General features: G+C 41.1%; 1 long non-coding RNA gene across 2 annotated transcripts in view, besides 1 other annotated feature; it reads left to right on the plus strand.

Moving 5' to 3' along the window:
- The first annotated feature begins 1570 nt into the window (after nucleotides 1-1570).
- The window catches only part of LINC01504 (long intergenic non-protein coding RNA 1504), a 37775-nt gene continuing 24451 nt past the window's right edge, over nucleotides 1571-14894 (plus strand). The window contains exons 1-2 of one of the 2 annotated variants that reach the window (NR_110952.1): nucleotides 1571-1760; nucleotides 11121-11225. This is a non-coding gene — a long non-coding RNA (long intergenic non-protein coding RNA 1504). Of the gene's footprint in view, nucleotides 1761-11120; nucleotides 11604-14894 lie in introns of those variants that run through there. The other variant, NR_110953.1, reaches the window with a different exon arrangement.
- Nucleotides 11773-12321: an enhancer, noted in NCBI's record as "OCT4-NANOG hESC enhancer chr9:74930554-74931102 (GRCh37/hg19 assembly coordinates)". NCBI's record gives its function as "activates a minimal SCP1, AML or CMV promoter by ChIP-STARR-seq in naive H9 embryonic stem cells {active_cell/tissue: H9 hESC(naive)}" and the evidence as "EXISTENCE:reporter gene assay evidence [ECO:0000049][PMID:30033119]".

Consider the following 14894-nt stretch of genomic DNA (forward strand, 5'->3'; position numbering starts at 1 on the left):
AGAATTGCTTGAACCGGGAGGTGGAGGTTACATCTAGTGCCATTAGAATTTAATAAATGTTAACTGATGGAAAAACTTCCAAGGTAGGGTGTGGTGATGGGAGTAGAGAAAGCACATGTTTTTCCTATTAAATGGTAAATGTCCAATTTGGGGTTAACTGGTAACTTCAGAGAACTGTGAGTCAGTTGCGTTCACGGAGGCCTAGCATTTTGCACAGGCAACTGCATTAAGCAAAGCAAAGTGCATGCATTTTGTTTTCCTTTGGGTATGTCTGGGCTTTGGGAAGCAGATTTCTTGCATATCAGTAAAGTGAAAGAGTTTGTTAATTTTGAAGTTCCTTATTTCAAGTCATTTTTGAAAAATATTTTACTATTATCTGTTTTTCACTCCCTGTGTAGATTTTTATTTGTTTGCCTTTTTGGTTCCTGTTTAACCAACCCAAAGTTAGAATTGGCTGAGAAAACTCTTACTAGCAAGTAATGTTATTGTCAAATAAATAGACTTAGGGATAATGTCAGCCCTAGTTAGTTGGGGTCACCCTGCCTCTTAAGATCTAGAGGACATAGGCTCAATCCCCCATACCAAGACTTGCGGAAGTCCAACTCAGTCTTCAACAATTCCATGCATTGCCAGAGGGCTTACATTCTCATGATCAGTTCTGGCTTCAAACTCCTATTTTGCTGAATTTGTTGAGTTTAGAGATAATCTTTTCATTGCCTCTTGTGTTCCTTATTCTGTATCACCTCAATACAATGTAGATCCTGGCCAGCCAGCCAGCCTGCCTTCCTCTCCTCCTCATCCTTCTTCTTCTCCCCCATCCTCTCTCTTCTCTTGTCTCTCTCTCTCTCTCACTCTCTCTCTCTCTCTCACATACCCACACCCACACCCACACACACACACACTCACACAGGCATTTTTATATGTAGTCAACTTTGCTGGAGTTTGGGAAAGGTAAAAGTAGTTTGCATAAAATGTAAAAAACATGAATACAATATTCATCATCCTTGTCCTTGTTCTTAAAAAGCAAATCTTTCATTCCTTTTCTGCCACAATTCGGGCTCCAGCCTCCCTCTCTTCCTTTTCCCCTCCTTTCTATGCCCACTCTCTTTTAAGAGAAGAAAAAATTCCTCTCATTCTCTTACAGGGGACAACTTAGCCCTCCCAGAAACTTACTGGGTCATTTTGACTGCAAGTGACAGAAAACAAAGTTCAAGCTGCTTGACACAAGAGGATCTACTGAGCCTTATAACTTAAAAGTCCAAGGGTGGATCTTGTTTCGGGCGTGGGTAGATAAGGGAGCTCGGCCGTGTCAGCAGATCTGATTTCTGTCTCAGTGTGTTGGCTCCACCCTTCCTGATTCTGGCTCCCTGTCTCAGCAAAACTCTCCTTGCTTTACATTGGGCCTACCCCTAGGCCTGTCAGTGTGGGCTGGGAATGCAGCACGCTCATTGGCTTAGGCCTCATTCCCATCATCCAACCCTGGCTCCAGGAGGATGGGATTAGTGTGACTCAAACACGTGGAAAGGAGTGGTTCTTCTGAGGAAAACCAGCTGAAGTATTACAGAAAGAGGAAATGCTGCAGAGACCCAGCCGGAAACAGTGCTGGCCAGCTCACGCCTGACCCACCCTTATTCTAAGCATAGGGTCTGCCTCTGAAGAGCTAAAGACTTCCTGAAATTTAAAAATTAGTGCTTTTATTTGCTTGTCCTGCTAAGACCGTAGGCAAAGGCCATCCTCCTCCCATTGACAGTTTAGAGTGGGTAAGTTCGTTTTTATAGATATTCTAAAATGCCCTGCAGGTACCAGAAACGTTTTATATCTTGATGGTAGGGGTTACACGGGGTATACATACGTTAAACTTTATCAAGCTGTACAGTTAAGGTTTGTGTACTTTACTGTATATGTAGTTTAGTGTACAAGCTGTACCTCAGTTAATTTTATTTTGTAATTTCCTGCAAGATTAGCAGCAAAAGCGCATGTGATGTCGAGTGCAACACTCAAGCCCATGATCTTTGGTTTGCCTTTATACTAAGCCTTATTCAGCCAGAAGCCAAGAAATAGCCCAGCTGAGGTCACCAGGGTAGAAAACCCATATGGGTTTGGGATTAAGTCCTATTTTGTATTAATATGGGTATATTTGCCTGAAGTGTCTTCTGGAACCTATATTTAATTTGTGTCCCTCAGAAACTGAGTATGTTGACACAGGAAACATTTAGAGACTGGGGATAGCCTGAGAGTCAATGTCTATAACTAAGGCTTCTAAACATTCCCCTAAATTATTCAGGTGAACATTACAGTAGTCCCCTCTTATCTGGGGGGATACCTTCCAAGCCCCCCATTAGATGCCTGAAATCAGATTTTACCAAACCCTGTACATACTATGTTTTTCCTATACATACATAACAATTATAAAGTTTAATTTATAAATTAGGCACAGTAAGAGATTAACAACAATAATAATAAAATTAAAAAATTACAACAATATACTGTAATAAAAGTTATGTAAGGCTGGCAAGGTGGCTTATGGCTGTGAACTTTGGGAGGCAGAGGCGGGAGGATCCCTTGAGCCCAGGATCCTGGGCAATTTGGCAAAACCCCATCTCTACAAAAAATAAAACACTTAGCCAGGCATAGTGGCGCATGCCTGTGGTCCTAGTACTCAGAAGCTGAGGCAGACGGATTGCTTAAACCCAGGGGGTTGAGGCTGCAGTGAGCTATGTTTGTGCCATTGCACTCCACTGTGGACAACAGAGCAAGACCCTGTCTCAAAAAAAAAATTATATAAATGTCTCTCTCTTTCTTTCAAAATACCTTATTGTACTGTACTCACATATTTTCAGACCACAGTTGACCTCAGTTAACGGGGAACTATTGTATTCAAGGCAGAAAGATAGTTTGCCTTCTACCATAAAATGGTGCTATTCAAAGTCATCATTCCTCAGTGAAACATCACATTTGACAGTCCTTTAGAGCAGATTGTAATGGATTTAGAATTGGAAGATCCACCTTTAAGTCCTGGCCTTGTCCTTTACTGGCTGTGTGGCTTTGGGCAAGTCACTTAATTGTGGCTGAGCTTCAGTTCCACATCTATAAAATGATGATATGGGAGGTTCCTGTCTTTCAGGGCTGATCTGCAATACAGAGATGACACATGCAAAGATCTTTTGTGAAATGGTAAAGTCTCATTATTATCCTGATCCCCCCTGCCCATTGCCTTTGAGAGCATTAATCACGTTTTTTTTAGTGCCTCTTTTGCATTTATCTTCTCAGGCAATCTCTTGAATGAATTTTTCACTCCACAATTACCTCTAAGGTTAAGTGATTCCCAGGAGATTGTCCAGCAGCATCTTGCAGGTTGCCAATACATCAGAAGAGCTTGCGTGAATTTCATCTTTCATCATTTTTTAGATGCTATCTTCATGTAACTTAATCTTGTCTCTCTGAATCTTTTGCAGTTCAATCTCCTAATTCACCCTGCTTACAATATTCCCCTTTGGAATCTCATTATCAGCTGTTGCCAACTAAGCAAAGGCAGAGTTTCTTGATGTCTCTTCATCTGTTTCCATGTTTGTATTATTCTTTGATTATACAAGTAAAATAGATAAGGAATAATTGTTGATGTTACAGAGAAATGGCAATTTTCTTTTTGAAAGGTGAGATTATTCTTACATACAGAAAAGCTTACCATTCTTCATGAAGTTACTGGAGAAAATGATAAAAGGGGAAATTTAATGGGAATTGTTCAAATATTTGAGAAATTAACTTTCACCTGGTAGACGCTCTCTACATAAACCTAAAAATAATTTTAGGTTTGGTTAAACCAAGTAGTTGGGATTACAGGCATGTGCCATGATGCCTGACTAATTTTTGTATTTTTAGTAGAGACGGGGTTTCCCCATGTTGGCCAGGCTGGTCTCAAGTGATCCATCTGCCTTGGCCTCCCAAAGTGCAGGAATTACAATTAATGGGAATTGTTCAAATATTTGAGAAATTAACTTTAACCTGGTAGATGCTCTCTACATAAACCTAACCTAAAATTATTTTTAGGTTTATGTAGAGAGCGTCTACCAGGTGAAAGTCACTATTTTAGGCACATTACTTGCATTTCTTATCTAATTTAATCTCCATCACCATTCCATTAGTTAACTATTGTTTTCTTTCTTCTACACATGTTGAATCAGGTTAGCTTGTACAATGTCACAGTAGGTAAAATGGAAGAGCCATACTGGAATAAAAATGCATTTAAATCCAGGCCGGGCATGATGTAATTCCTGCACTTTGGGAGGCCAAGGCAGATGGGTCACTTGAGACTAGCCTGGCCAACATGGGAAACCCCGTCTCTATTAAAAATACAAAAATTAGCTGGGCATCATGGCGCATGCCTGCAATCCCAGCTACTTGGGAAGCTGAGGCAGGAGAATCGCATGAACCCAGGAGAGGGAGGCTGCAGTGAGCCGAGATTGCGCCACTGCACTCCAGCCTGAGGGACAGGGCGAGACTCCATCCAAAAAAAAAAAAAACAAAATCCAAAGCCTGGGATTTTTCCATGAGATATTCTTCCATGGCACTTTATTTTATAGAGTTTGGGTGAATCTCCAACCAGCCAGAGATAAAAGTTTTAAGCCTTGGTAGTTGAATATTGACTGGTTAGCCACATAGCTTGTGCTCAGGATTCATATACTTCCCCTTAACTAGAATGTAAATTAGGAAGAAAGGGGGGTTGAACACATGGCTCAGGCCTGTAATCCCAGTGCTTTGGGAGGTTGAGGTAGGAGGATTGCTTGAGTTTAGGAGTTTGAGATCATCCTGGGTGACATAGGTAGACTCTGTCTCTACAAAAAAAAAAAAAAAAATTAGCCAGGTGTGGTGGTGCGCACCTGTGATCTCAGCTACTCGAGCCCAGGAGGTGAAGGCTGTGATGAACCTTGATAGTGCCACTGCACTTCAACCTGGGCAACGGAGCAAGACACTGTCTCTAGTAAATAAATAAAAATAAAATAATTAGGAAGAAAGGAATGAAGGAGGAAATGAAGGAAGGAGCAAAGGAAGGAAATGGTCACTTTTCTGTTTCCCTGGAGGATTGCTGCAGACTAACAATGCCAGTCTTACATTGCTTCAGTAAGAAGTTCCATTGTTTTAGGAAGATATCCTAGAAAATAGGTTACTCAATATAGGGATGGACCAAGGAATTAATAGAATTAATCTTAATGAAAATTATGAAGTTAACAGTCTACCGAAGACAAACAATTGCCACCTTTTAGGACAATAGGGATCTGGACTCAAAAATCTTTTGGGAAACTATAATTTTATAATGTAATTACTTATTTTATATTAATTTAAATGTAGGCAAGTTAGAAACTATGAGAAAGCCATCTAAGTATTCCTCACGGGGGCACATCTGTTTTATGAGTCTGCAAACTCAAATGACTAAAATGGCACAGTTATCAGCATGTTAACATGACTAAAATTATTGACATGTTGAGAGACATACAGGTGCGGATGTATTAAATTAGCATATTGCTAGAAAAAATATATGATTAAAAGTGGATAACAGGGCTTTCCATCTTTATTCCTTTGGGAAAGCAGACATTGTTATGCACTCTCAAGTCAAAGATGACCCTGATCCTAGACTCAGAGGCACCTGGGGAATTTGCTGGATCAGGCAGTGACTCAGATTTACCGTCCAAACTCATCCCTGGTCTGAGCAGCTCCCTGCATCAGCTTTCATGACCCTGCTGTTGAATCATGGCAGCCAACAAACAATCACCACATTTGTGGGACCTTTTTTTAGCCCCTCTCACCTGTGGCTCCCAAGATCCATCACCTAAGATTTACAAAATAGAACACACAAAGATCAAAGGTCAGCTTTGAAATATAAAAGCATTGTGTCCAAATGTTAAAAATAAGGTCAGCCATAAATCATGTTGGAAAGAAGTAGAATGTCATAAACACAAGAGATTACAAATCATAATTCACAGCTTGGAGCTCCACAACCCTAACAGAATTAACTTAAAAGCAACAACAACAGTAAAGGTGATGACCACAAATAACACAGGTCGGAGATCTGAGGTTTGGCAGGAAAAAGCCAGATGTGTTCAGAGTTCAGTGGAAAAGGTCACAAGCCTAGACAGACTAACTAGGTATCATAAGAATGTCTGTTTACCTTTTTTATCTTGGTAAACACTATATTTATAATTATTAGACTTTTTGCTTGTTTGGTTACTGAAGGTCATGCTAGGACGCGAGAGAATGACTTATTTGGAGGACCCTAAAAATAAAATTCTACATGCTTAATTCAAGACATTCCTACTATGTTAGAGATAAAATACTGGAAATCCTAAAGAAGAGAAGAATAAACTTGCATCAGGTTCTTCTGCTGTCACTTCGCAATGCTGAACTATCACCCAGAATTCTTTCAATATATGATAGCACATCACTGACACCAAAAAGAATAATGATTTGGCCGGGTGTGGTGGCTCACACCTGTAATCCCAGCAATCTGGGAGGCCGAGGCAGGCGGATCATGAGGTCAGGAGATCGAGACCATCCTGGCTAACATGGTGAAACCCCATCTCTACTAAGAAATAAAAAAAAAAAATTAGCTGGGCATGGTGGCGGGCACCTGTAGTCCCAGCTACTTGGGAGGCTGAGGCAGGAGAGTGCCATGAACCTGGAAGGCAGAGCTTACAGTGAGCCAAGATCATGCCACTGCACTCCAGCCTGGGCGACAGAGCAAGACTGTGTCTCAAAAAAAAAAAAAAAAAAAAAGAAGAAGAACAATGATTTAACTATAAGTTAGATATAAGTTATAACCACAAATCTAAATATCAGCTTTCTTGATCAACTGCACAGCTTATAATGATTTAAAACCTACTAATAACTATGTATCTTATTTTCTTGCAATAACACATAATTATAATAGGTTAATATTTATGAATCACACTGAGGTTCTCGGATGAAGTGATAAGCAAGTAAGTAAATATTACATAAATAAATAATTACCTGAGCAGTTAATGCCTCTGAAGTTGTGGATTGTAAATTTGAGAATACTAATTGCCTTATGAAATTTTGGCTCACAGATAACATGGGAAGTAGTGCTGTGTAATATGTAATCAACTCCCCTCTAATTTGACTTTGAAACCAAGTGAAAGAGAAAGAAGAAAATTAGGTTAATGTCTACCTATTTCTTTTTTACATATGATTGGGGACATTCTGAACACACAATGTCAATTCAATATGATTGATTTAAGAACATGGAAAATTAAATGGTTTGATCTTTTTCCATTACATGTTCATATGCAGCCAATACATGAAAATAACTTTTAAATAGATTTAAAGTGTCTGATGGCCATTATAGGAAGAAAGAAATATATGTGGAAGTAATTTGTTCTTTGAATCATATTCAGATAAGATGGAAATATTAAATACTGCAAATATCCAAAAATGGTATAGATATAACCTGATTTTTGCAATTTTCTTTTTTTTAGGTATAACATTTTAATCCTTTATAAATAGGAAGAAAAATGGAAAAACAATGAGGAGTAGGAAATCACATTTCTAGTTGTCTTTTTAAACCATAGCTTTGAAAGCTCAGAGAAGGCAAGAATCCAGTTTGCTATACAATAGAAAGCATTGAAGAATGTCATAGGCTTACTTTTTCCCCATTCAACATTTCTCTGGATATTCACCCATAACACTTAGGAGCAGATAAAAAAATTCTTTTCTAACTTGACTTCTTTAAAATGACTTATGGTAAAATATCTTTTTTTTTAAGATGGAGTTTCTCTCATGTTGCCCAGGCTGGAGTGCAGTGGCGCCATCTCGGCTCACTGCAACCTCCGCCTCCCAGGTTCAAGTGATTCTCCTGCCTCAGCCTCTGAAGTAGCTGGGATTACAGGCATGCACCGCCACACCAGGCTAATTTTGTATTTTTAGTAGAAACGGGGTTTCACCATGTTGGTCAGGCTGGTCTCAAACTCCTGACCTCAAGTGATCTGCCTACCTTGGCCTCCCAAAGTGCTGGGACTACAGGCATAGGCCACCGTGCCCCACCAGTAAAATATCTTAAATTACACTAGAATCCAAAGGTTTATCCTTGTAGTCCCTCACAAAAACAACTCTGAATTTTATTAAGAGCCAAATGAGCCTTGAATCTGAGTCCAGATCAAACACTAAGAAATTTGGTTCATTTGAGTGGCTTCTTTATATACACTTGCATTTTCTAAATTTTCTATAATGGACATATACCACTTTTACAATCAGAGGAAAAAACAAAACAAAACAAAACAAACATTACATAAAGAAGTTTAGTTCAGTTGTCAAACTTGCTCAGGGCCAATAGAAATGAGAGGATAAGCCAGGCGCAGTGGCTCATGCCTGTAATCCCAGCACTTTGGGAGGCTGAGTGGATGGATCACTTGAGGCCAGGAGTTCAAGACCAGCCTGGCCAACATGGTGAAACCCCATCTCTACTAAAATACAAAAATAAATAAATAAATAAGCCAGGTGCGGTAGTGCATGCCTGTAATCCCAGCTACTCGGGAGGCTGAGGCACAATAATCCCGTGAACCCAGGAGGCAGAGGTTGCTGTAAGCTGAGATCGTACCACTGTACTCCAGACTGGGCGACTGAGTGAGACTCTGTCTCAAAAAAAGAAATGAGAGAATAGACTAGAGTTCATGGCGTAAGTTTTTGCAGAAGCACCACTGCGTGAGTCTGTACATGGCTTTAAGAACTGTTTCTTATGTTTTATAGCAAACATTGTGGATGATGTAAATGAACACTATTACTTCTTCCCCTTTTATTTGTGAGCACTGAAGGATGTGTGCACTTACACGGTTTGCTTCTGCATGGTGGTTAAAAAATAAATTATCCATCAGTTTCACAAACAATGTGAAAGTTGCTTTACATAAATCTGAAGCTGAGTTTGCTCTGGACAGTGTTAAGCCATCTAAGAATTCTGCTAGGAGCAGATGTTCAGTCCTATTAAAGTGAGCAACGACGAACTTCTCAACTGAACATTATTATTTTAGGGAGTTTAAAGAGAAGCAACACAGGCTCATACGAATTAGAAGAGACTAAATCCACATAATGCAGTAGACTCTCAGTTTAGTACCAGCTGTCATTCGTACAAGCTCTGTGACTCTGAAACATTCACTTAACCTCTCTGAGACTCTGTTTTCATTTATAAAATGATGATGATAATAATAGTACCTATTCAGAAGATTACTGAAAAGACTAAACTAGATAAATTGCTTAGGACATTTATTAGCACATGCAAAGTGCTCCAACAAATATTTACTCTTATAAAAACTTGTACTGTCTTCTCTGCTGACTTGACGGTGGTGTTACATGAAGAGCAGAGTCTGAATGGTTTTATTATTATTATTATTAATTAATTAATTTATTTATTTATTTATTTTTGAGGCAGAGTTTCACTCTTGATGCCCAGGCTGGAGTGCAATGGTGTGATCTCAGCTCACTGCAAACTCTGCCTGCCTCCCAGGTTCAAGTGATTCTCCTGCCTCAGCCTCCCAAGTAGCTGGGATTACAGGCATGTGCCACTACGCCTGGCTAATTTTGTACTTTTAGTAGAGACGGTGTTTTACTATGTTGGTCAGGCTGGTCTCAAATTCCTGACCTCAGGTGATCCACCCGCCTCGGCCTCCCAGAGGGCTGGGATTATAGGCATGAGCCACTGTGCCCAGCCTGAATGTTTTAAAATATCTTTACTACTTGGTATAGTAGGTTGGACATATCACGTGCCCTTACTTCTGTGCTAAGAGTATTATTTAGGATTAGAACCTTCAACCAGGTCCTAAAATGATGTCACCTAATTAGTTACTCATCCTAGGTGTGGCAAGTAGAACTTCCTAGTACAAATTGGAGAGAGCCTATGTTTGTGTTTAAGACACATGTCTTAGTCTGTTCAGGCTGTTAGAACAAAATACACACACTGGGTAGCTTATCAACAACAGAAACTTATTTCTCACAGTAATAGGGGCTGGAAAGGCCAAACTCAAGGAGCTGGCAGATTCAGTGTCTGGTGAGGGCCCTGCTTGCTGGCTCATAGATGGCACTTCTTGCTGTGTCCCCATAGGGTGGAAGAGGCAAGGCAGCTCTTGGGAGCCTTCTTCATAAGGACACTAACCCCATTCATGAAGGATCTGCCTTCGTGATTTAATCACTCCCCAAAGGGCCCACCTTCAGTTACCATCACATGGGTGATTAGGTTTCAACCTACGAATTCTGGGGAACACAAACATTCAGACCATAGCAGTGCTAGATGGTGTTTCTAAAGGAAAAATAGTGCTCCACTGGGGCATAAAAATCTGTTTATAGGCTAGGCATGGTGGCCTGTAATCCCAGCACTTTGGGAGGCCAAGGCGGCAGATCATGAGGTCAGGAGTTCGAGACCAGCCTGGCCAGCATGGTGAAACCCCGTCTCTACTAAAAATACAAAAAGTTAGCTGGGCACGGTGGCGCCCGCCTGTAGTCCCAGCTACTCAGGAGGCTGAGGCAGGGAAATCGCTTGAACCCAGGAAGTGGACATTCCAGCCTGGGCGACAGAGCGAGACTCCGTTTAAAAAACAAAACAAAACAAAACAAAACTGTTTATAATATTAATAATAAATAGTTCCTGAATGTTCACTTGGAGTCAAAGAGCTGCTAACAACTAGGCCCACATTCTCATTGAATTCTCACTACCACCTTATGCAGCAGGTACTGTTTTAATCCTGAGAGAAAACTGGGGCTCAAAGAGGTTAAGTAACTTGCTCACTGTCACATAACAAGTAGATGGTGCACTGGACACTTCAGTGCCTACTCACTCCTTTACAAGGGTTCTGAGCCATGATTTTTGTGTGGTAAAGATGAGAGGCAGACAGCTGTTTATAGAATTGGAAAATACTTCTATCTTTCCTTGATACCTGCACCCATCCCCCTTTCATCCACATTGCAGTTTTTGCAAAGTCAGTCAGTTAGGAGGGAAACATCCATTTAATTGAGGGGAAGGAGAGTATTAGCCTCATCCTTTTTTCTAAGTGGTGGGGGAAAAACCTCCACTGAGAGAGAGAAGAACAAGAAGAAAAAATTTAACCAGCAATTTTGTTCACTTGAAGGCAGAAACAACCACGGTTACCCTAGAAGTAAATCCAGAGCTGCGGGACGCTGGAGGACAAAACCAACCTTCCAGGGAAGCCGAGGAGAAGTCATGCCTTCAAAAGGTGTCTGCCTTTTTTTTTTTCACCCTCTCTCCTCTAACCTGTTTGTAACTGGGAAATGAAATAGTTTTGGTTTGCAAGCTGTCGCCAGGGAGTGGAGCAAGACTTTGTAATAAACAAGAGCAACTGCCAGAGCCCCCAGCGAGCCTCTCCAAGGCCAGACTGCCAAGAAAAGCTGGCAGTGTGACAGCAAGTTTCATTCAGCGTGGCCGGTGGTCACTGAGGAGCGACCATGAGGAGGATGGCCAGAGGGGGTACCCCCCAGTCTCACCTTGGGGAAGAGTACAGCCTCCTATTAGTGAGCTGTGTGGGCTATTAAAATTCCCCCAGGCTGAGTGTTTCAGGAAACACCATAAATAAATAAAATTGTCTGTGTGTGTGTGTGTGTGTGTGTGTGTGTGTGCAATTCTCTAGAGAAAAGATCTAGAGCTTTCACCAAATTCCCAAGAGCCCACGACCCTTACAGCAGAAGCCAAACTCAGAATTAGCACACACTTAGGTCTTCTGCAAAAGAACACCAAGCTCACCACTTTTATTTCTGGAAACTGAGCCTAGGCGGTCAGCCCACTCTCCTCTTACAAAACCCCTAGGCACTTAAGAGACCACAGGGGAAAAAAAAGAACTCAACCCCTTTTCTAATCTAAACCTAATCCTTCTTAAACCTTGCCTGACCCGGGTTACCAGGAATCCTGCCAGTGCCAAATGATACGATGTTTATTCAGCTCATGTCTTAGCCCGCTGCTCCTGAGCCACAGAAATCAAAGGGGAACATTCAGCCACCACCTGCTGATCAACGTGTAAACAAAGGGGTAGTCAAGACTGAGGAGGACCAGCTTTTGAGGACAATCACTGCGTGTTGCTCCAGCTCACATAAAGGCACGGCTCCTAAGGAACAGGCTTGAGACATGCACAAGTGCTGTGCCAAGTAGTTCAGGAGCCTGGTACAGCTGTTCCCAATATGCCTTTACCTCCTGTTGCCTCTTCTAACCACAATAGGGTGTGGATGACATAGTGCCCTTGCTCCCAGAAGAAACTGGGAAAGTTACAACTCATTAACCAGTTAGGTTAGTGTTGGAACAGTGCTTGCCACATTATTCTGAGAAGCCTCAGATCCGTGAGGGTGATGTGGAGCTCAGAACACATGGCCTGACCCCATGTGGGGTTTTACTGGAGCAGTTGTTTTGATCTGTCTTACATCTGGGGGATCTGCAAGAGATTTCGAGGGATGAGGGCCAGTTCCCTTGCTAAAACTTAGAATGTTTAAAAAAAAAAAAAACTCCCTTGTACTATTGAGCTTGGTACATCTTTCCTTGAAAGGAGCTAAAGTGAAATAACTTATAGATCCTGACATGCAATGAGCTGGGTTTTTTTCCAATTTTCTTTGCTTCTTGTCTCTGAACATATGCCTCCTTATAATTCTTCCTATATGTGTTTGATAGCATTGTTCTCTGAGTAATAGTAACCATGAGAAGAATATCTAACATTTATTCCATGCCTATTGTGTGCCATGCCACATGCTGGGCACTTTATGTGCCCTTATCCTACCGGACCCCGCTGCAGCCCTGTGAGTGGATGGTCCCTCTCTTCAGCTCTCAGGTGACACAAAAACAACAACAACAACATCCGCAACAGCAACTTCTTCAGTTCATTTAGTTGGTAAATTCTGGACTCAGAACTGCAAGCTAGGCAGTAACTCAGAGGTTGAGTTGACTTGATGTATAATGTCACCTTTAATGTCTACTGAACAAGAGATGTGTGTGTATAAGTAAGACGTAAATTATTTTTTCATCTTGAAAAGGAATGTGCTCAATAGAGAAAATCTGAAGTTAAAAAATAAAAAAACAGGAAGAAAAAATAACCCATGATTTCCCAACTCCAAGACCACCAACTGTTAATGTGTTAATGTTTGCGCATATTTCCTCCCAGTCTATTTTTATGCATAATTTTTAGCCCTGCATATTTAAAACAGCTGTGATTGTGCATATTTTATTTTGCTTTTGTCACTTTGTATGACAATATAATGTATGATGATGTTTTTCATAATATTTCAAATTCTCTATAATTTTTACTGGCTAAATATTAGTCTTTTAAGTGGAGTAATTCAGGTTGACAAATATTTATTGAGCACCTAATATGTCCCAGACCCTGTGCTCCACCCTGGGAACACACAGATATATAAAATTCTGTTCTTTTCTTCAAGAACTAGCAGTCTAGTGTAGAGCAAAGAAGGTAACTAGATAACTATGTAGTTATAATAATAGCTACCACTGGCTGGGCATGGTGGCTTATACCTGTAATCCCTGCACTTTGGGAGGCTGAGGCAGGCAGATCAGCTGAAGTCAGGAGTTTGAGACCAGCCTGGCCAACATGGTAAAACCACGTCTCTACTAAAATACAAAAACTAGCCAGGTATGGTGGCGGGTGCCTGTAATCCCAGCTACTCGGGAGGCTGAGGCAGGAGAATCACTTGAACCCAGGAGGTGGAGGTTGCAGTGAGCTGAGATCGTGCTGCTGCCTTCCAGTCTGGGTGACAGAGCCAGACTCCATCAATAATAATAATAATAATAATAATAATAATAATAATAATGATAGCTACCACTACTGAACATATATGATGTCCCAGGCACCATTCACAGGTATGAACTCACTGAATCCTCAGAGCAACCTTATGAGTAGGGATGATCACTCTGTTCTTTTTAATAGCTGTTGAGACTGAGGCATGCCTTGCTAATAAGATGGCATTGCCCAGTGTGGCAGGTTGAGTAATGGCTCCCTGAAGATGTCCACCTTCTAATCCCCAGTACCTGCAAATATTACCTTGCATCGAAATTACCTGTAAAGTAAAATGGTAAAAATGGAATATAATCTTACATGGAAAAAAGGGATTTTGCAGGTATGATTAAGTTAAGGATTTTTTTTTTTTTTTTAAGATGGAGTCTCACTCTGTTGCCCAAGCTGAAGTGCAGTGGCGCAATCTCAGCTCACTGCAAACTCCACCTCCCAGGTTCAAGAGATTCTCCTGCCTAAGCCCCTGAGTATCTGGGACTGCAGGCACGTGCCACCATGCCCGGCTAATTTTTATATTTTTAGTAGAGATGGGGTTTCACTATGTTGGCCAGGCTGTTCTTGAAATCCTGACCTCAGGTGATCTACCTGGCCTCCCAAAGTCCTGGGATTACAGGTGTGAGTCACCATGCTCGACCTAAGTTAAGGATCCTGATACAGGAAGATTATCCTGGATGATCTGGGTGGGTCCAATGTTGAGGAGAGTCCTAATAAGAGGTAAATAGTAATGTCAGAGTCACAGAAGGAATGTGATGATGAAAACAGAGAAAGAGAGAGAGAGAAAGGGCAGAAGAGAAGGAAAGAGAGGCTTGATGCCACACTGCTGACCTTGAAGACTGAGGAAAGGACCGTGAGCCAAGGAATGCAGGCAGCCTCCAGAAGCTGGAAATGAATTCTCCTCTGGAGCCTCCGGAAAGAACAGAGTCCTGTTAACGCCTTGATTTTACAACTTTTGACTTCTAAATTTATGTTGTTTTAAGCTATTAAGTTTGTGGTAATTTGTTATAACAGCAACAGGAAATAAATACACGAGGATTAAAACCCAGGCAGTTTGACCCTAGTGCCATCGTTCTTAACTATGGTCATATATGAGGTTATTAGCTATGT

The sequence above is a fragment of the Homo sapiens genome, chromosome 9 (assembly GCF_000001405.40).
Source record: "Homo sapiens chromosome 9, GRCh38.p14 Primary Assembly".
NCBI classification, from domain to species: domain Eukaryota; kingdom Metazoa; phylum Chordata; class Mammalia; order Primates; family Hominidae; genus Homo; species Homo sapiens.